The 24,863-nt window shown below is 40.9% G+C and overlaps 1 protein-coding gene and 1 long non-coding RNA gene across 23 annotated transcripts in view, besides 3 other annotated features; one reads left to right on the forward strand and one right to left on the reverse strand.

Annotated features, from left to right (window-relative positions):
- Positions 1–7,516, reverse strand: part of CD101-AS1 (CD101 antisense RNA 1) — a 34,009-nt gene extending 26,493 nt beyond the window's left edge. The window contains exon 1 of the long non-coding RNA NR_110786.1: positions 7,399–7,516. This is a non-coding gene — a long non-coding RNA (CD101 antisense RNA 1). The remainder of the gene's footprint in view (positions 1–7,398) is intronic.
- Positions 11–100: an enhancer, noted in NCBI's record as "active region_1578". NCBI's record gives its function as "activates an Ori minimal core promoter by ATAC-STARR-seq in GM12878 lymphoblastoid cells {active_cell/tissue: GM12878}" and the evidence as "EXISTENCE:reporter gene assay evidence [ECO:0000049][PMID:35858748]".
- Positions 7,423–7,472: a silencer, noted in NCBI's record as "silent region_1236". NCBI's record gives its function as "represses an Ori minimal core promoter by ATAC-STARR-seq in GM12878 lymphoblastoid cells {active_cell/tissue: GM12878}" and the evidence as "EXISTENCE:reporter gene assay evidence [ECO:0000049][PMID:35858748]".
- Positions 7,893–8,052: an enhancer, noted in NCBI's record as "active region_1579". NCBI's record gives its function as "activates an Ori minimal core promoter by ATAC-STARR-seq in GM12878 lymphoblastoid cells {active_cell/tissue: GM12878}" and the evidence as "EXISTENCE:reporter gene assay evidence [ECO:0000049][PMID:35858748]".
- TTF2 (transcription termination factor 2) overlaps positions 8,352–24,863 on the forward strand; it is a 47,128-nt gene continuing 30,616 nt past the window's right edge. For all 22 annotated transcript variants that reach the window (XR_007064424.1, XR_007064425.1, XR_007064426.1 and 19 more), the window contains exons 1-7: positions 8,352–8,400; positions 8,481–8,583; positions 10,413–10,499; positions 21,687–21,753; positions 22,896–23,885; positions 24,206–24,320; positions 24,667–24,849. Coding sequence is in view for 17 of the 22 variants with exons in the window: in XM_017002552.3 (XP_016858041.1) it covers positions 8,373–8,400; positions 8,481–8,583; positions 10,413–10,499; positions 21,687–21,753; positions 22,896–23,885; positions 24,206–24,320; positions 24,667–24,849 (1,573 nt within the window). In the remaining 5 variants the exon portion in view is untranslated. The remainder of the gene's footprint in view (positions 8,401–8,480; positions 8,584–10,412; positions 10,500–21,686; positions 21,754–22,895; positions 23,886–24,205; positions 24,321–24,666; positions 24,850–24,863) is intronic.

Below are 24,863 nucleotides of genomic sequence, written 5' to 3' on the forward strand. Positions count from 1 at the left end.
GTTTACGCTCAGCTTGAGAACCTGGAATCCACCTTAGTGCCATTTGTTGCTTTCCAGAAAAAATGCAACTCAGAAACAAAAAGAAAACAGAAAACAAAACAAACAAGAGGCCGGGTGCAGTGGCTCACGCCTGTAGTCCCAACACGCTGGGAGGCCAAGGTGGGCAATCACTTGAGGCCAGGAGTTCGAGACCAACCTAGCTAACATGTTGAAGCCCCGTCTCTACTAAAAATACAAAAATTAGCTGGGCATAGTGGCATGCGCCTGTAATCTCAGCTACTCGGGAGGCTGAGGCAGGAGAACTGCTTGAGCCCGGGAGGCGAAGATTGTAGTGAACCGAGATCATGTCACTGCACTCCAGCCTGGGCGACAGAGTGAGACTCTGTCTCAAAAAACAAGGAAAAAAAAAAGAAATACAACTCAGGATGGCCACCAGAAAACAAGTACATAGCCACTGGAGGTCTTCAGGTTCTAGGTTATCTTGAATGTGTAAAGCAGCGAAGGTTTTAGGGAACAAATGAGCAGTGAGGGTTGAGGAGAAGGTTAGAATTAAGCAGAATAACTGGTATAGGGTTAGGGGGAAGAGGGAAAAAACAGCTTGGTATAAAACTTGAATTAGATACCAAAAAAATGGGTAGGAGGACATGAATAAGAAAGAAAGGATTAATTAGAGGAAAGTTAGGATTGAATAGCTAAGATGAGAACTAGGCAAGTTTAAGAGGTGTTCTGATGAAGGTACAGAGACGTGGGGCCTATGACTGCTCTACTGCTGACAGTATAATAACATTATATGCCATATAAAACAATGGGAGAAAAAAAGAAAAAAACACCAATAATCCTACCATCTTAAATAAGCATTGTTATTATTATTTTGGTACATCCTCTTTGTTATTGTTTTCTATGTGACTGCTTTCAATATCTTTATTGGATTTTAAAAATCGTAACAGAGCAATACATGCTAGTTGTAGAAAATAAAAACTGCACCAATCTCCCAACCCAACCTCCCAGAGGTATATAAATGGAATCATACAGCATATAGTCTTGAAAGTTAATAGTTTTGATGCCAGGTGTGATGGTGTACACATGATCCCAGCCCTTTGGGAGGCCAACGCGGCAGACTGCTTGAGCTCAGGAGTTTGAGACCAGCCTGGGCAACATGGTGAAACCCTGTCTCTACAAAAAATACAAAAATTAGCCAGCTGTGGTGGTGTGCTCTGGTAGTCCCAGTTACTCGGGAGGCTGGAATGGGAAGATCACTGGAGCCTGGGAGAACAAGGCTGCAGTGAGCTGAGACTGCACCACTTCCAGCCTGAGGGGCTGAGTGAGACCCTGTCTCCAAAAAAAAAAAAAAAAACAAATTGACATGACTATACTCATAGTACATAGTACATTGTATAATGTTTGTTACTTAACATTATACAAATGATTACTATGTCTTTTTATGTCTTTGTATTAATAACAATTAATGTCATTTTAACTTAGGTTTAAGTTCCATACAAACGTTAAAGGAAAAAGACTTTCAAGACCATTTAAAAAGAGGAAGATGATGGCTAAAAAGCACACGAAAAAGAGTGCCACATCAATAGAAAAATCAAAATTCAAACAAAAGTCAGATACCACTTCATACCTACTAAAAAAGGCACGCAATAACAAGCATTGTTGAGGACATGAAGAACTGGGAACCCTCATACGTTGCTGGTGGAAATATAAAATGGTATAGCCACTTTGGAAAGTGGTTTGGCAATTTCTTAAAAAGTTAAACAAACTAACCATATGAACTAGCAATTCCACTCACAGGTTTATCTGCCCAAGAGAAATGAGAACAAATGTTCATATAAAGACTTTAACGTTAGGCCGGGTGCGGTGGCTCATGCCTGTAATCCCAGTACTTAGGGAGGCTGAGGCAGATAGATTACCTGAGGTCAGGAGTTTGAGACCAGCTTGGCCAACATGGTGAAACCCTGTCCCTACTAAAAATATAAAAATTAGCTTACGTGGTGGCTCGAGCCTATAATCCCAGCTACTCGGGAGGCTGAGGCAGGAGAATTGCTTGAACCTGGGAGCTGGAGGTTGCAGTGAGCCAAGATCATGCCACTGCACTCCAGCTTGGGTGACAGAGCAAGACTCCATCTCAAAAACAACAACAACAAAAAACAAAAAAACAAAAACAAAAACAATAAAACAGACTTTAACATTAATGTTCATAGCAATATTATTCCTAATAATTCCAAAGGGAAAATGATCCAAATGTCCACCAACTGGTGAATGAACACAATGGAATATTACTCAGCAATAAAAAGGAGTGAAATACTGATACATGTGCAACATGGGTAAACCTCACAAGCATTATGTAAGTGAAAGAAGACAGAGGCAAGAGACTACATATTACATGACTCCATTATATGAAATGTCCAGAAAAGGCAAACTTATAAAGACAGAAAGCATATCAGAGGTTGCCTTGGGACTAGCTGGGGGTGGCAGTTGGGATTGACTGCACACAGCTTTGAGGAAAGTTTTTGAGTGATAGAAATGTTTTAAAACTGGATTCTGGTGGTGATGGCACAACTTTATAAATTTACTTAAACAATGAATTGTGGGCCAGGTGTGATGGCTCATGCCTGTAATCCCAGCACTTTGGGAGGCCGAGGCGGGTGGATCACCTGAGTTCAGGAGTTCGAGACCAGCCTGGCCAACAGGGTGAAACCCCATCTCTACTAAAAATACAAAAATTGGCCAGGCGTGGTGGCGGGCACCTGTAATCCCAGCTACTCGGGAGGCTGAGGCAGGAGAGTCACTTGAACCCAGGAGGCAGAGGTTACAGTGAGCCAAGATCATGCCACTGTACTCCAGCCTGGCAACAGAGTGAGACTCTGTCTCAAAAAAAAAAAAAAAAGAATTGTGGCCGGGCGCGATGGCTCAAGCCTGTAATCCCAGCACTTTGGGGGGTCGAGGCGAGTGGATCACCTGAGTTCAGGAGTTCAAGACCAGCCTGGACAACATGGTGAAACCCCATCTCTACTAAAAATACAAAAATTAGCTGAGCGTGGTGGCACAAGCCTATAATCCCAGCTACTCAGGAGGCTGAGGCAGGAGAATCACTTGAACCCAGGAGGCGGAGGTTGCAGTGAGCCAAGATCCTACCATTGCACTCCACTCCAGCCTGGGTAACAGACAAGACTCCAACTGAAAAAAATACCTGTACATTTACCAAAAAAAAAAAAAAAAAAAAAGAAGAAGATAAAGAGCCTGCATTGAACCACTTTTGGAATAATATTTTAAGAACAGTGAAATTTGGAATCTAGTACTGAAAAAATATTGGTATAACAAAATAATTTGTAAAGTCTCTTGGCTTTACAAATTATAACCACATTTGTTCTCACTATAGTATCATCCTGATCGAGCCTATGTCAAAGGACAAGTTGAAAACAGTCATATGTTTGAAAGGCACAAAATGAAATGAAATGAAATTGAATTACCATTATATATCTTCAAACAAAAAGAATGAAACAGAGGAGGGTGGGCCTCAGTTTGGTTTTTATGTTACTAGGCTGCTACCTAGTGGTCATTTATAAAATGGCAGGACTTGGGTTTTTGGTTTTTGTCTTGGATTTGTTGAGCCATGTCTCTACACCACAGCAAATACCTAAACACTTACCGATGTGTGGGTTAAATATCTGAATGCATTGCTGAATAATTTATGCTTTATAAAAATACTATAGGCTGGGCGCAGTGGCTCAGGCCTGTAATCCCAGCACTTTGGGAGGCCGAGGCAGGTGGATCACCTGAGGTCTCAGGAGTTCGAGACCAGCCTGGCCAACATGGCGAAACCCCATCTCTACTAAAAATACACAAAATTGCTGGGCGTGGTGGTGGGTGCCTGTAATCCCAGCTACTTGGGAGGCTGAGGCAGGAGAATTGCTTAAACCTGGGAAGTGGAGGTTGCAGTGAGCCGAGATCACGCCACTGCACTCCAGCCTGGGCGACAGAGCGAGACTCCGTCTCAAAAAAAAAAAGAAGAAGAAGAAGAAGAAAAAATACTATAGTGGCAAGAACTGGATTGAAAGTTCTGAAAAATGGCCTTTAGTCCCTGATTGGCTGCTGTCAGCTTTGTGACTTTGAGCCAGGTCAAAATTAATCCATGGGGACTATCCGGTTCCAAAGTTTTAGGAGCAGCTCTGTAAGGTAAGTTGGCCTTGGGGCCACCTCCTTAACTGCTCTAAACTTTAGTATCTTCATCTTAAAAATGGGGATAAAAAATCCCATCCCTAGGCTAGTTGTGACAATTAAATGTGACAATGCATATAAAAGTACTATCTCAGAACACACCTCAGGAAAAGTTAGAATATGACTTTCCCTCTCAGAATGTGCCTAATAGGGAACAATCTTTTATCTGCCAATTAAAATTACTCCTTCCCATCCTATCCCAAAGCAACAAGCAAAAACACCAGAAGTTCAGAAAAGTAAATATGATTCTTAGAATGATCTGCTCATTTGAAACATAAATTTGAACAATTTAATTTAAAAAATAATCAATAAAGCATAGCCGCTAGAATTTTACAAATCACTTGAAACTTGGAATTGCTGATTATTTTAAAACAATAAGGTAGTGACCGAGATGTCAAAAGGTGAATGTTCTAGCTCATCCTCTCACCACTGGTATCTTATGGAGGTCTGACATGTTTAATGTATGCCAGCCAGCACAATGCTGACCACAGAAAGTATAATTCTTTCATTTTCCTAGGAATTAAGCTCCACTTTTGTGGGGTTGGACTTGTTCCTGGGTGTGTTGGCTCACACCTGTAATTTCAGCACTTTGGGAGGCTGAGGCAGGAAGACTGCTTGGGCCTAGTAGTTTGAGACCAGCCTGGGAAACACAGCAAGACCTCCTCTCTACAAAAAAAAAAAAAAAAAAAAAAAAAATCAAAAAATTAGTTAGGTGTGGTGGCACAAACCTGTGGTCCCAGCTACTCCAGAGGCTGAGGTGGGAGGATTGCTTGAGCTTGAAAGGTTGAGGCTAGAGTGAGCTATGATTACACCACCGTACTCCAGTCTGGGTGACAAAGCACGACACTATCTCAAAAAAGAAAAGAAAAATAAATAAAAATAAAATGAGTGTCTGTGCTACCCCAGAATTATATTTTATTTTTGAGACAGGGGCTCACTCTGTCATCCAGGCAGAAGCACAGTGGTTCAATCATGGCTCACAGAAGCCTCGACCTCCTTGGGCTCAGGTGATCCTCCCAACTCAGCCTCCCAAGTAGCTGGGACCACAGGCATGCTCCACCAAGCCTGGATAATTTTTTTATTTTTTGTATAGATGGAGTTTCACCATGTTGCCCAGGCTGGTCCCAAACTCCTGGATTCAAGTGATCCACCCACCTCAGCCTCCCAAACTGCTGGGATTACAGGCATGAGCCACCTTGTCTGGCCTACCCTGGATTTTATTCAATATTTCACAGGTCAAAGAACCAGTCTGCTTCTGTAACCGAAGGGTTTCTACTACCACTTTATTTCTTCACCCATTAGGATGTTTCCTTAAGGATGTCAACATATCTAGATGACCAATTTTAGTTATTACTTTCAATGCAGCAGATAGGTATTTTGGCATTGCTTAGTTTTTAAAACAGCCTTATTAAGGTATAATTTAGATGTCATAGAATTCACCTATTTAAAGTGTACAATTCAAAGAGTCTAGTAAATTTAATCAATTGTGCACCCATTACCACAATCCAGTTTTAGAACAATTCCAACATATACTTTGCATTTGACCAGCTCCATACTGAACAAATTTATTGGATAATTAACCTGTGCATTTTAAGCCATCTAAATCTAGGACCCAGCCTAGACATTATTTTGAATAAATCAAGCTTTAAGGAAAAACAAACTCTAAACTTTACTCAAAATAGAGATCCATAAAGCACATTCTCCCAAGGTCTCTCCGGGGGTCTGTAGGCTAATTAACAATATAAATTTAAAATATAAATTAAGAATAAAAATTAATACACATACACCAATACATGTGTATATTTTGAAAAGTGTATGTTGTATAATTCATTATTATTTATTTCAATAGGCATAAGTTTTTTTTTAAGAGACAAAGTTTCACTCTGTCACCAAGGCTAGAGTGCAGTGGCACAATCACAGCTCACTGTAGCCTCAAACTTGTGGGCTCAAGCCATCCTCCCACCTCAGCCTCCTGAGTAGCTAGGACCGCAGGTGCCCACCACCATACTCAACGGGCATAAAAATTAATTTTAAAAATGTTTCCAGTTATGACCATCTTTCGTCCAATCTCAAACTTATTTTTTTCAATCTTGTAAATATGATGAGGTGGAATAAGTTGTCCAGGGACTTAACATTTTGATCTAGTATATTTTTAATTTATGGAAGAAATATTCCTCCTGTCTGTGATTTGGCTGTGCACACTTTTGTGAGGTTGGACTGGAGATACCGACTTGGGTACTTGCAGAGGAGGAGCTTCTTCCTTAACGGGATATTTAAGAGGCCCCGATTTTGCCTTGTTTCGAAAATTATTCAAGAAATAATTAATTACCATGCCCCTCTTTCTGCAAATCCTGTATTCATGGTATACTACCTCCAATACAGCATCTATTAAACATGTACAAATACATCATTTGCAAGAATAACAATCTTGGAATAATGAAAATGCTTCTACCTATTTGTTGTTCCTGTCTTATCTCTAAGTTCATCTAAGTTTCGGAAGGGTAGTTATGTATAAAGGAACTTCACTTTGGAAATTCCATTTTTCTCTAGTCCTAGAGAGTTACTGCTAACTCCATTCATTTTGACATTTAAATACTATTTTATATTGTTATTTAAGTGTTCAACATGTACTAGTTCAGTCTCCTCAAAATACTGAGTAAGTTCCTTGTGCTTAGAATAGTTGTTTCAAACTTTGTGTGTGTGAATGAATGAATTTTACATTTCTCAAGCACCTAGTCCACAACGGGCACAAAAAAGCTATTTAGTAAGTACTGTTTAATTAATAAATGATACCTCAGGTTTGTCTCCCTTCCTCCGGATCCCCATAACATGTACATTTATCACATCGCCCAGATTTCCTAGACATTACAGATTTTCTGTTCTACGGCCCCCATAAGAACAGTGCAGGTGCCACACCATATGTCTGGGACATATGGTCCTCAATAGCTGCAATATGAAACTATTTCTATTGCAATAAATCTAATATCTATTCCTCTCTGTTTACTAATAGTTTTGATTACAACTTCAAATTTTAAAAATCGAGGATGAAGTTAAATAGAAGGGAACTGTCCCCTTTCTTCTATTTAACCTCGTCTTCGATTTTTAAAATTACAAAAGCATAATAGTAAAAAAAAGTTTGACAATACAAAATGATAAAGTAAAATTCGCCTTCACCAAAAGTCATCTATTTCCCCTTCTGTGGTTTCCACGTTGCGGCTGGTAACTCGGGGCTTCCACGCTGGGCGAGCCTAGAGAACATCCAGTACACACAGGAAGCAGCAGCGCGGGCCAAATGGCGCTGAGACCTGCGCACCTGTCCACGGACCGCCCACTCGCCAACTCTGACCTTGGGTGAGTCTCTCAAACTTGAGTCTCGGAATCTTCCACAAAATGCTACCCATCTCACCAGGTCGAGTGAGGAGGGTCGTGTTATGTGTAAGCACTTTGTGAAATCTAAAGCACGAGGCAAACGTAAAGCATTGTAGGGGGTCCTAGAGAAGTCTTTGTGCCTGCCTATCAGAGCCGTTTCAGTTCCCCGCAGCAGCTTCCAAGGACCTCCCACCATGCCCGCCGCTTCGGCTCCTGCACTGCAAATCTCGCGGCTCGGCCTGCAGCGGCGGCTTCCCCTGGCCTCCCACCCCAGCGACTGAGCGCGGAGCCCAGCGCGCACGAGCGCCAGCCTGGCTCAGAGACACCCACGAAGCCAGGGCCTTTCAGCGCCTGCTAACTGGCGCTACCCCTAGGGCCGCCTCTCGGTTTTAAACGTAAACAAGAGTTGCCCTTCCGTCTTCCAAGACCTGCAAATCGAAGCTTCTTTTCCTCCAGAAGCCCCGCCACCTTCTAAGCTTCTCCCCAGCCTCAGCCACGCCCCAGCCTGCAAAAGCCGGGTCCTTTACGCCCCCTGGCTCCGTATTTGATTTCGGCGCGCGCCATACCTGAGGGCAGCTGTGATTGGTTGGAGGTGAGCGAAGTTCCTATATGATTGGCTGATAGCGGCTAGGACGGGTGAAGGCCAAGGGCGGAGAATTATGGGAGGGATTAAGACTGCAAGAGCTGAGTGATGGTTGGTTCCTGAACAAAGAGGGCGGAGTAAAAGGCGGAAGCAGAATTGGGGGCGGGGCTTTGTGGAACTTGGGGGACCCAGCGAAATGGAAGAAGTTAGGTGTCCAGAGCACGGTAAGGGGCTAGGGTCTCAGCGTCCCGGGGCCTGTTGATTTAGCGTGGCGTAATCGTTGTTCACTTTCTTCTCTCTTCAGGGACTTTCTGCTTTCTTAAGACCGGCGTCCGCGATGGCCCGAATAAAGGAAAGAGCTTCTACGTGTGCCGGGCAGACACGTGCAGCTTCGTGCGGGCCACCGAGTAGGTCTGGAGCTGGGCCCCACTCCCTGTGGCTGCCCGGGGCCTCCCGAGAGGAGCTTCCCGCTCCCCGCTGTCGGGCGTCACAGGGCCGAGGAGTGGTGGGGCCCTAGTTTGCGGTGTCAGGACCCTTTAAGCAATTGGTGATCCCAGGGCAGCGTGGCGTGTTCGGAAGACGCCCAGCTAATTCTGGCTGTGTGACCCGAGGCTGGTTACCCCCCTCTCTGGGCCGATGGTTCCCCTACCTGTAAAATTGAGGATCCGGTGTTTTCCAGCTCTGGGTTTCTATTCACTTGACAGGCCTTAACCACTCCCTTCTCCTGCCCAGACAGTCCCTCCCCCTTTAAAGGAGTAAGGACACACAGCAGACATAGTGGAAAATAATTTGTCCCTGTTTTGCACTAGTTTTAGGCCCGACGGTTTTTTTTAAATGTTTGAGCTTAAAACACTCTAGTGATTAGTTGTTAGCCTTCTTATTTTTAAGTAGGATTCTCTGCATCTAAATGGTGAAATTGATAATTCAAAGAAATTAGCGCTGGAAGAAACAACGGAGGGCCTGGCGCGGTGTGTGACGCCTGTAATCCCAGCACTTTGGGAGGCGAAGGCGAGCGAATCGCTTGAGCCCAGGGGTTCGAAACCAGCCTGGGCAACATGGTGAAATCCCGTCTCTACGAAAAATTAAAAAAAATTGTCTAGGCATGGTATCACACGCCTGTAGTCCCAGCTACTCGTGAGGCTGAGGTGGGAGGAGAGAGTCAGAAATGTTAAGCATCTTCTCTAAAGTGAGGAAAGTTAATAGTTTGTCAAGTGTTAATGTTTTCACAGTACCAAGTGTCTACATTTTCTATGTGAATTTTAAAACTATCATCACATCATTAAACATCTCCTGCTCTCTATTCAGCAAAACTTGGTAGAGAAAAGTTATTTTTCTCCGTGTCAGATGTAGAGTACATAATGGATATCAGTATTAGAAAAGTGCCCTTTCAACATGTATACTAACTTCCCATGTTTCTGTTTCATGAGTTAGATGATTTACACTGAGCCTCTCAGATATAGTACCCAGGTCAAGTTTTGTGAGATAGAAGCATTTTTACCTTTGCAGGAATTCAACATTAATGGTGGCATAAGATTTGGTTTTACATTAAGAGAAACACTCTTATTTAGGATCCCATCTACACAAATGCTTTGCTATACAAACTAGCACAGTGGTATTTGAAGACAATTATTTGATAAACTTGATTTATTTGGACTATATCTGATAACCAATATACAGGCCAAAAAAAGTGCCACAGGTTTAGGAGAGTACTTTAAACCTTCACTCAAACCTGTTTACTCTCAAATGTTATATATATTTAAATTTTTTCATAATAAGTTGGAAGGGAGTGATTAAAAACTTACACAAAACAAGAAGCATATAGGGCGTATTGTTAGAGGTAGGCGTGTGAATAACACTAAGTGACAGCTCTCAGCTTGTTAGAGGGAAAGGATGAAGGGAAGAGCCTGGGGAAAATTCATACAGGGCCTCACAGCCAGCCCTAATTATGTCATTCGTAGGGGGATCCCAGTGTAGAGATTACACAGTGCAGTGTGGTTTTAAACTTTTGAGTCATCAAGAAACAGTTATGCTTTATTTGAGAAAGTGGGTAAAGATGAAAGCTAGGGACTTCTTCCCCAAAGGAATGCCCATAGCTGTGATAATGTGTGGGAATTACAAACCCAGTAGAGGTTATACATAGATTCTTGGTGTAAAAACCCATAGTTTTGATTTGACTTTAGGATATTGATCTCTGTTCCTGACCTAAAAATGTTTTCAACTTTTTTCTTTTCTCTAGCATTCCTGTTTCCCATTGCTTATTGCATGAGGACTTTGTGGTAGAGCTTCAGGGTTTGCTTCTGCCACAGGACAAGAAAGAATACAGGTAAGGGTCCAAAAGGAACATCTAAGTGTATTTGCTTTTTTTTTTTTTTCTCCCTGAAAGAGTTGTAGCCAGGTATGTATTAGGATTGTTCTTTAAAAGTCATTTTAAAAAACAAAATTTGTATATGTATTAAGTGTCTTTTGGCTGTCACTACCTAAATACCAAGCAGCTAGTTAATCTGAGAAGTCTGATTTCTAGTAATTTTCACGTAAATGGCTCCACAATCATCCCTCTCCAACTGTCAGGTAGCCTATAATGACAGCTGACCATTGGCCACTAACTTGCCCTTAACTTGTCAATCTTCTAATTCTGGTAATAGAACAAGGTAGTGAGTAAAAATGGCTAAACATATTTAGTCCTCAATAAATGTTAGTTTCTTTTCCTTTATATGGGAATTTGGGAAGGGCAGAGAAGTCTATAGAGCTGGGAGATATTTGTCACGAGTATTCAAAGATAAAGTAGGAATTCCCTAAGTGTTAGAGAGAGGTCATATTTAATGGACTAATATATTGCATTAGAGTACTAAGGCATGAATTAACATGGCATTTTCAGGGAAAATTTGATTTGTTAATAGTTTAACATATCTTTAAACAGAGACTTTAGGCGATAAGGCTGGCCAGGAAGGTAGGGGTCAGGATGTGATAGATGGTCTTTGTGTGATATTCTATGCACTTCATAATTTATATATTCTAGATCCCCCCACCCAATTAAAGGCATTTGAGTACCACCTACAATTTTTATATACCTGAGTACTGTTCATACTTCTATTTTTCTTAATTTAGTTATATGTATAGTAAGATACACAAGTCTTAAGATTTCAACCAGTTGAGTTTTGAGAATGCATGTACCTGCTCATAAAACCAAGATCCGAGTCAAAATATTACCCCAATAAGTGCCATCAGTCCCCTTCAAGTTAATTTCACCCCTCCCATCTCCACCCCTGTCAGCAATCACTGTTCTGATTTTTATCTCTTTAGATGTGTTTTGATTGTTCTTGAACGTTATATAAATGAAATCCTACTGCATGTACTCTTCTGTGTCTGACTTCTTTTACTTAACAGTATGTGAAATGTATATAATATGTATCAGTAATTCATTCATTTTTATTGTGGAGTTGAATTTCATTTATAAATGCACCACTTTGTTTGGTGTGCCTATTTGCCATCAGAAAATCTCGACGTTATCTGTTTAAATATTTTATCCTTTTTTTTGCATTGAAATTTTTATCAAGTAGTTTTAGATTCACATACAGTTGTAAGGAATAATACAGAGTTATCCCCTGTAGACTTTATCCAGTTTCCCCCAATGGTAACGTTTGCAAGGCTTAGAAATATATCACAAACAGGATATTAATATTGGTACAACCCACCAGTTTTATTGGTAAAGGTAGTTTTACTTGAACTAATTTATGTGTGTGTGTATATTCTATACAATTTTATCCTGTCGAGTCATGTATCTACCACTACAGTCAAGGTACTGAAGAGTTCCATCACAGGATCTCTCTGTTGCCCTTTCTATAACCATACCCCCTTCCCTCCCTTCTGCCCTCTTCACTCCGGCAATCAGGAATTTGCTTTTCATTTCTAAAATTTTGTCATTGCACAATTGTTACATAAGTGGAATCATAAAGTATAACTTTGGAGATCTTTGCCTGTTTTAAAATTTTTGTCTTTTTTTAAAACTGAGTTGGTAGAGTTCTTTGTAAATTCTCTATACAAGTTAGGCCAGGCATGGTGGCTCATGCCTGTAATCCCAGCACTTTGGGAGGCTGAAGTGGGCAGATCACTTGAGATTAGGAGTTTGAGACCAGCCTGGCCAACCAACATGGTGAAACCCCATCTCTACTAAATAAAAAAAAGTGAAAAAACAAAAAAAAATTAGCTGGGCCTGGTGGCACACTCCTGAAGTCTCAGCTACTCGGGAGGCTCATCATTTTTGTATGGTTTGTGCTTTTTGTCTGATCTCCAAGAAATCTTTGCCTACCCCAATATCACAAATATTTCCAAGAATTGTCTAGAAGCTTTATAGTTTTATTTTTGTTTGTTTGTTTGTTTGTTTTTGAGAGAGAGAGTTTCACTCTGTCTTCCAGGCTGGAGTGCCGTGGTACAATCTTGGCTCACTGCAACCACCATCTCCTGGGTTCAAGCAATTCTTATGCCTCAGCCTCCCAAGTAGTCCCAAGTAGCTGGGACTACAGGTGTGCACCAATAATTTTTTTGTATTTTAGTAGAAACGGAGTTTCACCATGTTGCCCAGGCTGGTCCCGAACTCCTGAGCTCAGGCAATCTACACATCTTGGCCTCCCAAGGTGCTAGGATTACAGGTGTGAGCTACTGCACCTGGCCTGTTTTTTTTTTTTCTTCTTCTTTTTTTTTTTAGTAGCTTTTTCATATAGGTCTATTATCTATATCTTAAATTACTTTTGTGTAGTATATCAGGTAGGGTAGAGGTTCATTTATTTTTGCATATGTTACCAATTGTTTTAGCATCATGTTTTGAAGATTTTCCTTTTCCCATTGAAATGCTTGGCGTCTTTGTAAAAATTCAATTGATCCAATATATGTAAGTCTATTTCTGGGGTTGCTAATCTGTTCCATTGATCCATTTGCCTATCTTTACATAATTAATCAGATAAAATAGTGTGAGTCTTCTGACTTTATTCTTTTTCAAGATTGCGTTGGCTGCTCTAGGATCTTTGCATTTCCATATAAAATGTAGAATCAGCTTTTAAAAATTTCCACAGAAAACCCTGTTGGGATTGCATTGAATCTATATAGATCAATTTGGAGAGAATTGTCAATATTGAGGCTTCCAATCCATGAATGTAGTGCATTTATTTATGACTTTAAAAATGTCAGCTGGGCGCGGCAATCCTAGCACTTTGGGAGGCCAAGGCGGGCGGATCACGAGGTCAGGAGATCGAGACCATCATGGCTAACAAGGTGAAACCCCATCTCTACTAAAAATACTAAAAATTAGCCGGGCATGGTGGAAGGCGCCTGTAGTCCCAGCTACTCAGGAGGCTGAGGCAGGAGAATGGCGTGAACCCGGAGGCAGAGCTTACAGTGAGCCGGGATCGCGCCACCGCACTCCAGCTTGGGTGACAGAGCGAGACTCTGTCTCAAAAAAAAAATGTCTCTGAGCATTGTTTAATACTTTTCATTACAGAGTTCCTATGCATCTTTTGTTAAATTTATTTCTCAGTGTTTGTGTTTTTTAGTGCTGTTGTAAATGGAATTTTTTTTAATTTTGTTTTTGGATTGTTTTCTGCTGGTATAGTAGGGCTGGTAAGCCTTTATTGCATGAAGTTATATTCTACTGATACTTAAAACCATTTACATACTACTGGAGGACCTTTACCATACAGACATACTGTGGTAGTTGTTAGGAAGCCACTGAAGGATTTTTGACCCAATTTGCATTAAAAGAAGAACTATGGAGGACAGATTAGAAAGTGAAAATAGGGCAAAGAGACCACTGAAATAATAGCTACCATTGAAAGCCCACTATATACCTTTTTTTTTTTTTTTTTTTTTTTTTTTTTGTAGAGACACGGTCTCACTGTATTACCCAGCCTGGTCTCAATCTCCTGGGCTCAAGCAATCCTCCTACCTCAGCCTCCCAAAGTACTGGGATTACAGGTGTGGGCCACTGCACCCAGCCTGTTCATTATCTTTTACCTTCATATAATTTGTTGTGATAGATTTCAATATCCGTGTTTACCAGAAAGATGGAGAAACTACCATTGAAACAGGTCAGAAAGGGAATCTGAGGACCCATGGTTATGAAGTGGCATTGCTGGGATTTAAACCCAGGTCCAACTGATTCCAGACACACCAACTTTCTCTTAAGTGAGAGGTGATGGGCCTGAATTGAAGTAGCAGCAGTGGAATTGGGTCCAAGTAGAATGAAAACTTGCTGAAAGAGCACTGATGAGATGTATTTCCTGGTAGGGCATATAAACGTGTTCCTTCCTCCATTTTTTCATCTGGAATATTGCTCACATGGCCCTAACTTCCCTGGGTTGGAGGACTTGGAGAGAGAACGTGTGTGATGGCCTCGGTCTGGTGTTTGGCACATTGTCAGTGCTCAGTAGGGAAACGGTTGCTAAGGTGGGGCTTCTGGGTAATGTGTTTACGTTAAGCAGGACAAGGAAGAAAGGTAATGTTGGTCGAGTATTGGGATGTGTGGCAAACACATACAGCTTTGGACTAATCATGTCTTTTTTTTTTTTTTTTTTTTTTTAAAAGACAGAGTCTTGCTCTGTCAACCAGGCTGGAGTACAGTGGCACAATCTCAGCTCACTGCGACCTCTGCCTCCCAGGTTCAGGTGATTCTCGTGTCTCAGCCTCCCGAGTAGCTGGGATTACAGGTGTGTGTCACGACGCCCAGCTAATTTTTGTATTTTTAGTAGACATGGGCTTTTGCCATGTTGGCCAGGCTGGTCTCAAACTCCTAGCCTCAAGTGGTCTGCCTGCCTCAGCCTCCCAGAGTACTGGGATTACAGGCATGAGCCACCTCACCTGGCCAAATTGTGTCTTATTTTCATGTGAAACCAGCTAGAAAAATGAGTGTGCAGCTCTGAAGAAAGGCCTGACTGAGGTCAGAATTTTGAGAACTTGCTGTTAACGTTCTTTGTACTAGATGGATAAGACTGAGAAGGGTTTATTATTTTAAAATAGAACAAAAAAGTATGTTACATGTATTTCTCTTAGCCTAAATTCAGAGCACTATTACTAGGAAGTACTTACTGGAGCTTTAAAAAGCTTGTCTTAGGGCCAGGCATGGTGGTTCACACCTGTAATCTCAGCATTTTGGGAGGCCAAGGCCGGCGGATCACTTGAGGCCAGGAGTTCAAGACCAGCCTGGCCATCATGGTGAAACTCTCTCTACTAAAAATACAAAAAATAGCCGGGCATGGTGGCGTGTGCCTGTAATCCCAGCTACTCAGTAGGCAGGAGAATCACTTTGAGCCGGGGAAGCGGAGGTTGCAGTGAGCCAAGATCACATCATTACACTCCAACCTGGATGACAGAGCAAGACTCAGTCTCAAAAAAAAAAAAAAAAAAAAAAAAGTTGTCTTAGGACAAATAAAAGTAAAAGGCAGTTCTTAACACACAACACATTAAAAAACAATAACAACAGAAAACCAGGTACTCTGATAGGTAGCATAGACTGGGAATTTAAACAGAAATAGATAAGTCTATATATGGATGATGGCTTCCTTAGTGAACATTAAGGGTGTTCAGCCAGAACCCCTGGAGAGTGACCTATGAGAGTACAGCCTTTCCCTCACATACTCTGGGTTTTCTTTTTAATAACTTAAATATTTTACATCCTCTAATTAATACTATTATGTTTGGCTGAATGTAGTCAGGAGACAGGTGCAACAGAGTAATAGAAGGGAGGTGTAAACTGAGGCGAAGATGCCCATTTTTCATCTCTTGCAGTGTAGCTGCATTTGTGTGCAGATCTCTAACTGAAACACCAGATGGCACCACTGACCAGCATTTGACTAGCCATTCGGCCATGGCCCTCTGTGTACAGGCAGTAAAGAAAACTGATAATCTCAGTAGAACCAGGGGGAAGAAATCTTGCCTTGACATGAACGATGTGGTACACCCTGGTATACAAATTTTGGGCATTGTCACTGAGCTCCTGAGTTCATATTTTCCTTTCTCTCTGTTTCTCACAGAACTTTCACTCAAGGATACAGGGTCAAAATAAATGGAAATATTTCTTTGCTTAGACGTGGGTATAACAAGTTTTAGTTCTTTAAATAATTGGTTGTGGTATCCTTCTGAGCAAACTATCACAAGGACAGAAAACCAAACACCGCATGTTCTTACTCATAGGTGGGAGCTTAACCATGAGAACACTTGGACATAGGGCGTGGAACATCACATACTGGGGCCTGTTGTGGGGTTGGGGGAGAGGGGAGGGATAGCATTAGGAGATATACTTAATGTAAATGACGAGTTAATGGGCGCAACACACCAACATGGCACATGCATACATGTGTAACAAACCTGCACATTGTGCACATGTACCCTAGAACTTAAAGTGTAATAAAAAAAAAAAAAAGAAAAATATTCACCTCCAAAAAAAAATTAATTGGTTGTGGTAGATGTTCAAAATATTTTACTTTTAATAACCCTTGAAACTTCACATGTCTAGAAAACTCCTCGTGTTGTTGGCTATTGGGTGAAATTGACCTGCAGATTATCTAGCCCTAGTATAGTGAGCAGGATGGTGATAGAGAGGCAACCAGGCATGCGCCAGACCCAGCCAGAACCTCAGGCCCCACCAGCTGTGAAGGACCACTGAATAAAGCCATACTTGTGAGGCGGTGTACAGTACCATGCACTGCACTGTGCAGTGCGAGCAATCCCTTTGTATAAAGTATAGTAACCCTTTGTGATATGTGTGGTAGTTACGTTTTCCCAGTTTGCTTTTTGTCTTACAATTTTGCTTATGGTATTTTCATCATATGGTAGTGTAAACTTTTAAAAATTACTAAATTCTTTATTTCTCAGCTTCAGAGTTTTATCCCAGGCTTAGAAAAGCCTTCTTCACTTTAGGACTACAAGAATATTCATATCTGTTTTTTTTCCTAGAACATTTACAATTTTGTTTTTTACTTTTACATTTTTTTCCATCTTGAAAGTTCGTGTAAAAGAATGAGGTAGACATTCGGCTTTATGTTTTTCCAGAGCTGGACCATGTAAAGATGTGAACTCATAATCCCTAAGGAGCCTTTGACACAGCTGGAATAAGAGTTAGATGTACTGAGATTGGGGTGCAGTCTCCTCTGCACATTAGAGCGCTAAATTGAAGACGTTCAGATGCGAGATGGTTCTGTGACTCTAAGACATACAGTTCAGGGCTAGGAAGGTTACAGAGAAAGTAGAGGAGTTGAGACTTGAAGTTGTCCTTGAATGACCTTGACAATTTTGATGGAGGAAAGGACAAGGAAGTGTTGAGGCAGAACAGCTTCAGCAGAAGTGTGGATGTAGGAATAAGCAGAGTGATCAGCCAGTGTGAGCTTGGCATTGCTGTTGTCTTTTAAGACCTTGGTATGTATCAGGCTTTGCTCTGATTGTATTTTGTCTTCATCATGACCGTATGAGGTATGGACTATATCATTTTGCCATTTTACAGAACAGGAAACTGCCACAGGGGGCAGTCAATTAAGGTGTCTGATGTTTCAGAACTAATTAGGTGGTAGGGCTGGGATTTGAACCAAGGGAGAATAGTTCTGGAGCCTGAGAGAACTGTAGCCTTGCTAAAGTGAATGCACTTGGCAGTGTGATGTTGAGTTGGACATTACCTTTAGGAAAATGGGAGGATTTGTGTTTTGGTGAAGAAGTCAGGATTGAAGAGGTCTGGCTTCTTCTAGCTGGTCCCTTCATCGTTATTGCCTATAACCTCTGTCCTGGAAAACAATTAATAAACATACTGCAGAAATTAATGCTTTTCTTATAGTGGAATTGATATTTGCTTTCTCTGCGAAAATATATTTCCACTGCATTCTTTGTTGATTTACAATATAATAAAACGTAACAAACAAACTTATTATCCTAAAATCAGAAAAGCTCATCCAGATTGATTTTAATTAAAAATGTAAGGGAAAGCATTTTTAGCACTGTGCCTAGCACATAGCAGATGTTCAGTGTGTTTCTTTCCTTAGTTCTGCAAATCTTGCCCTTCTCCTGAAAGTCTACATGGCATGAGTTTTAAAGTAGACACTACAGTCATGAGTCATTTAACAATGGGGGCATATTCTGAGAAATGCGTCATTAGGAGATTTCATTTTTGTGTGAACGTCACTGTGTGAACTTACACAAACCTACTTGGTATAGCCTAATACATACCTAGGTTACAGAACTGTACAGTGTGTTACTTTACTGAATACTGCAGGCATTTGTAACACAGTGCTAAGTATTTGTATATCTAAACAAAGAAAATGTACAGTAAAAATACAGTATTATCTCATGGGACCACAGTTGTATGTGCCATCCACTGTTGACTGAAACATCATCATGCAGCACGGGACTGTACTTATGAAATATTCTTTCAGTAAAGATTTCAAGTACTTGATATGCTTTAAACAACAGCAGGAGTTTGTTCTTGATTTATTTCTGTAAGTAGTAGCACCCACTGATGGCAGCTGTTACTTTGAATTTTATGCATTCAAAGCATTTCAGAAATTGTATTACATATGTTTAATATAATATCCTATTGCAATGAGAAAAATTAAAGAAACCAGTAAGATTTTAAAAATTGTGAACTTGGATGGGAAAATTGTGTTTGTACAAGAGGGAGGGGCTGGACCTATTTTCTTTTTAGCTTAACTTTTATGGACAACTTGTCCATTTGGGCTTGTTCATCTTTGTTTATGTGTCCTGGTGAAGTAGTGGCATCAAGGGACCAGGACCTGCTCAGGACCCCTGAATTAGGATGCAGACTGTTGTGATTCATGTTGTACATCATGGGACTAATTTAGGAAGTTAGAAAAAGAACAATAAATTAAACTGAAGGAAAGCAGAAGGAAGGAATTAATGTTGGTAAAAATTGCATTTAATGAGTTAGAAAGCAGCATATAGATAACTAATAAAGAAAATCAGAGGCTAACCTGGTCAAGAAGAACAGCACAAATACATAACATGAGAAATAAGGAGCTGCACCACAGATGTATTGAAATGTACATGAAATGACATATGCACAGTTTCACTCCTTGTGCCACTGCTTTTAATAGTAAAGGATAAGAAACAGCTGAACCGCCCACCAAGAGGGTTCTGGTTAAAAATAATGCAACATCCCATACAGTGGAAAACCACAACTGGAAAAAAATAATAAAAACAAGGATCTTCCTTACATATATGTTATTATAGAAAAATTTTCAAGGTATTAGGTAAAAAAAGAAAGGCAAGGTATTCAGCAGTATGTATGTTATGCTACCCATTTGTGTAGAGGAGGAAGAAAGAATGTATATTGACTTGAATATGCATTTAAAAATCTCTGGAAAGGTAAACAAAAAACTAATGAGCAGTTACATGTTGGGAGAGAAGTGAACTGGGCAGATAGGGTATGAGGGGGCTTCTCACTGTGTTTTTAATACTTATTGATTGAATACTTTACCTATTTCAGCAGACAAAATATATATTTTTAAAGCTCTTATTTAATCAATTAAAAGTTTTTGAGGAGTTATTTTAGGTAATTACATAAATCAGTTCTATTTTATGCAGCAATACTTAATTACGTACAACAGGCAAGTCATAGTTGGGAATAAAGAGATCATGTATGGTTTTTGCCCTCTAGTAGCTGAAAATATACCTGGACAGTCAGCTATATTTTATAGCTGGACAGTCAGCTTTATTAGGTTGGTGTAAATGTAATTGTGTTTTTTGCCATTAAAAGTAATGGCACAGAGGCAGTTCATGGATTAAACAGGGAAGGGAATGTGGGGAAACCTTGCCAAGCAGGTACGACTTAAGATGGGCCTTGAGGGACCAGTAGGACTTCCGTAGCTGGAGATGGGGGAGATGGTAGACAGATTGGGATGATGAGGATATCCTTTGGATGGAGAGTAGTACCCATGCAAAGTCTAGTAGACTGGAGGGTGCATGGCTTAGTTCGGCAGTGGAACAGCTTAGACACCTCTGGATAGCTGGAGTATGGGCTGTGTTTGTGTGTGCAGGAACTTTCTTGCACTGGGATGTTAAATCTGTATTCAGCCTTCTTTTTTTGGTGGAAGAGTGTAAATATATACAGAAGTAAGATAGGGTACTGTAGCATGAGCTTCAACAATTGCCAGCTCATGGCTACTCTTGTTCTATATGTATCCTATCCACTTCACCCCGTAACTCCTGCCCTATTTTGAAAAAAATCCCAGATAACATTATTTCATCTGTCAATATTTTAGTATGTAGCTTTAAAAGATACGGACTTTTTTTTTTTTTTTTTTTTTGAGACAGAGTCTCACTGTGTCGCCAGGCTGGAGTGCAGTGGTGCAATCTCGGCTCACTGCAACCTACGCCTCCCGGGTTCAAGCGATTCTCCTGCCTCAGCCTCCTGAGTAGCTGGGACTACAGGCATGTGCCACCACGCCGGGCTAATTTTTGTATTTTTAGTAGAGACGGGATTTCACCATGTTGGCCAGGATGGTCTCGATCTCTTGATCTCGTGATCCGCCCACCTCAGCCTCCCGAAGTGCTGGGATTACAGGTGTGAGCCACCGCACCCGGCCAAGATATGAACTATTTTTTAAAAAATATTTGTATGTTTTAGAGAAGGGAGTCTTGCTGTGTTGCCCAGGTTTGAGTGCAGTGGCTATTCACAGGCACAATCTTAGCACATTGCAGCCTCTGGCCTCAAATGATCCTCCTGTCTCAGGCCCCTGAGTAGAGGGGACTATAGGTGTGTGCCACTGCATCCAGCTGCACTCTTTTAACATACCAGTTGGTTTACATATTTTCAGTGGACTCATAAATGTCATAGTTTTTTTTTAGTAGTTTTAATTTGTTTAAATCAGGATCCAAATAAGGTTCACAAATTGGAATTGATTAATATGTCTTTTAAGTCTCTGAAGTTTTCCCTTCATCTTTTTTTCTCCCTCGTAACTTATTTGTGGAAGGGATCAGGTTGTTTGTCCTATAGCGTTTCCCACTGCCAAGATTTTGAAGGTTATATTCTCCACAGTATAGTTTTACGCCTTCTTCTGTTGTTTCTATTTCCTATAAATTGGTAATTGGATCTAGAGGTTAGTTTTTTGTTTGTTTTGGCTTCGTTGTTTTGGGGTTTTTTTTGGGGCAACATTGCTTTGTAGCTAGTGTTGTGACCCCCCTTCAGGGACACACAGTGTCTGGCTGTCTCTCATTTCTCTGATTTTAGTAGCCATTGCTGATCAGTGTTTCTATTTCAGTCATTCGTTACAGACTAAAAAGAATAAACCTGTGTGCATTCTCTGGCTACCATGCCATATTTATTCTTGGACTTCCTAGCCCTTATAAATGTTCTGTGCAGTAAATAATTTTTAAATGTGTATATAAAAGTAATTGGTTTCAAGTGACCTCCCAAAGCCAGGTTCAAATAGTTGCAAGATGTTTTCTTGGATTAAAAATAAGCTTATCTCTTGTTCTAATGGATTTTCATAGCCTTGATTATTTGTGTTTTATACTTCATTAGATTGTTCTTCCGATGCATTAGAAGTAAGGCAGAGGGGAAACGCTGGTGTGGAAGTATTCCATGGCAGGTAGGAATTATTCATCTGTTTTCAAACCTGCTGTGTTAAGACTTTTAATATGCAGCATCACCTGAAAATACCTTGAAGTTCACGTAAATGAGTTGGTCTTCATCAGACTGTCTCCGAAAGATAGTTTTCTTTAAGCAAGGTAGGCCCTGTTGGGACTTTTATTCAAAGGATCATTTAGTCGTAATCAAGATTAATTATTTGCATCCTATTTCACTTAGTAAATATTTTTTGAGGTCTTAAATGTAGTCAGTATTCTTTTACTCAAGGAAAAAAATAGATTTCCTTGACTAACTCTTGTATCTTTTTATAGAGGAATTTCTACTTGATACTGGTATAAGCTAAGTATAAGCATAAGCTCCTAGTATGTTAGAACTAGGAGGAGCATCTCCTAATAGGAGAAGCCCTACAGATATTCAGTACGTGAGGAACTAGAAGTAGGGAGGTGATAAGACTTGTTTTGGCAGAGGTGTGGCTTGAACTTACGATTCTAGATTACCACAGTAAAATCCTCCTAAAGCCAAAATCAAAGCAAGTGTTTTAAGACAATGTTTAGGTTTGGGGAAAAGTTCATCTTAAGAGAATAGTTTTTTTCCTGAAAAGTATACACTGTGGCCATTGTGATTGTAAAAGCACTTTGGTTTGTCACTACTTTTCCTTGAGGCCTGGAAAAGAGTGATCATGGACAGAGAAGGAACCAAGCTTCGAAAGTATCGTGAAGAAATGAGTCCTTTGTGGGTTTGGCACGTCATCTTTTCTAGACGTGGAAATGGTACCAAGAATGTTCAGGAAATATTGGACTGCTTTTACTGTGTTTCCATTTCTTCTGCAGAATAATCCTAAGTGAATTAATGCAGGAACAGAAAACCAAATATCATATGTTCTCACGAGCAGGAGCTAAACATTGAGCACCCATAAACATGGGAACAATAGATACTGTGAACTACTGGAGAGGGGAGGAGGGCATGGGTTAAGAAACTATCTATTGGGCACTATGCTCACTGCCTGAGTGCAATATACTCATATAACAAAGCTGCATATGTACCCCCTGTATATAAAATAAAAGTTGAGATGAAAAGGAAAGGCATTCTAGATACGAAGTTTGTATTAATATTTTATATGAAGATTAATTATTTTGTCTTTAGGATCCTGATTCCAAAGAACATTCTGTATCCAATAAGTCTCAGCATGCATCTGAGACATTTCATCATTCTTCCAACTGGCTGAGAAATCCATTCAAGGTACTTGACAAGAATCAAGAACCAGCTCTCTGGAAACAGCTCATCAAAGGTGAAGGTGAGGAAAAGAAGGCTGATAAGAAGCAAAGAGAAAAGGGAGATCAGCTTTTCGATCAAAAGAAAGAACAGAAGCCTGAAATGATGGAGAAAGACCTCTCATCTGGCCTGGTACCAAAGAAAAAACAATCTGTAGTTCAAGAGAAGAAGCAAGAAGAGGGAGCAGAGATTCAGTGTGAGGCAGAGACTGGAGGCACACACAAAAGAGACTTTTCTGAAATTAAATCTCAACAGTGCCAAGGTAATGAGCTTACAAGACCATCTGCATCTTCTCAGGAGAAATCAAGTGGTAAGAGTCAAGATGTCCAAAGAGAATCAGAACCTCTGAGAGAAAAGGTTACCCAGCTTTTGCCTCAAAATGTTCACAGTCACAACTCAATAAGCAAGCCCCAGAAAGGGGGACCCCTCAACAAGGAGTACACGAACTGGGAGGCTAAAGAAACAAAGGCAAAGGATGGCCCTAGCATACAGGCCACCCAGAAAAGCCTGCCTCAGGGGCATTTCCAAGAGCGGCCGGAGACCCACAGTGTGCCTGCTCCTGGAGGACCAGCGGCTCAGGCTGCACCAGCAGCACCAGGGCTTTCCCTGGGTGAGGGCCGTGAAGCTGCCACAAGCAGTGACGACGAGGAGGAAGATGATGTTGTTTTTGTTTCCTCTAAGCCTGGGAGCCCCCTACTCTTTGACTCGACTCTGGACTTAGAGACGAAGGAAAACCTCCAATTCCCTGATCGAAGTGTGCAAAGAAAGGTGTCTCCTGCCTCAGGTGTTTCCAAGAAGGTAGAACCCTCAGACCCAGTAGCCCGGCGTGTCTACCTTACAACACAACTGAAACAAAAGAAGGTAACTATTGACTCGTGTTTTGTTTCTGAGGTCAGAGCATTGCTTGTTATGGGCAGATATGAGATCTCATTGCTACAGAAGGGTTAAATATGTTCATGTGAAGGTTTTATAGGTGCATGTTCAGTTTCTGCCTTTTCCCCTATTTATATTTTCAAGATTGGTAAGCCAGCTGGGTTAAAATTTAAAAAAGGTTCTGGTTTTTGCACACATATTTAAAAGACCATAATTTCAGAGTTTGGGTGTTTCAGGCTATTTTAATCTGAAACTATTCATCTAACAGTGTGAGAGGAGAGATCCATTTGATGGAATCTGTTTTTCAGAGCACACTGGCATCAGTGAACATCCAGGCTCTTCCAGACAAGGGTCAGAAGTTGATCAAACAAATCCAGGAGCTGGAGGAAGTACTCAGTGGTCTTACCCTTTCCCCAGAGCAAGGTAAAGTGGCTTATGCCTCAGAACTCCGGGTTTGCATCGACTTTACAAGAGACATTCGGGAAGCCCTTTTAATAAAGAATGTGTTGATTCATTCACTTTTCCATTTTATTATCTGCTTCTGAGACTTCTTTCACATTACACCTATGGTTCATAAAAAACTTTCTCCTGTTTCCTGTGGACTCTACTTTCTTCCCCATTGTTTAAGCAACTGTTAAAATGCTACCTTCTCTAGGAATCCTTCATCGGAATGGTGATGATCCCTCTCTCTTGACCTCACCTCCACACATATGGTCCCTTCACTTAGTTTGCTGAACTTTAATCTGCTCTTCCCTTGTTTTCTGAGCAGGAACTAATGAGAAGAGTAACAGTCAAGTACCACAGCAGAGTCACTTCACCAAAACTACCACTGGCCCTCCCCACCTGGTGCCTCCCCAACCCCTTCCTCGTCGTGGTACCCAACCTGTGGGTTCTCTAGAACTAAAGTCTGCCTGCCAGGTGACTGCTGGAGGATCCAGTCAGTGCTATCGAGGTAAGACCCAAGGG

The sequence above is a fragment of the Homo sapiens genome, chromosome 1 (assembly GCF_000001405.40).
Source record: "Homo sapiens chromosome 1, GRCh38.p14 Primary Assembly".
Taxonomy (NCBI): domain Eukaryota; kingdom Metazoa; phylum Chordata; class Mammalia; order Primates; family Hominidae; genus Homo; species Homo sapiens.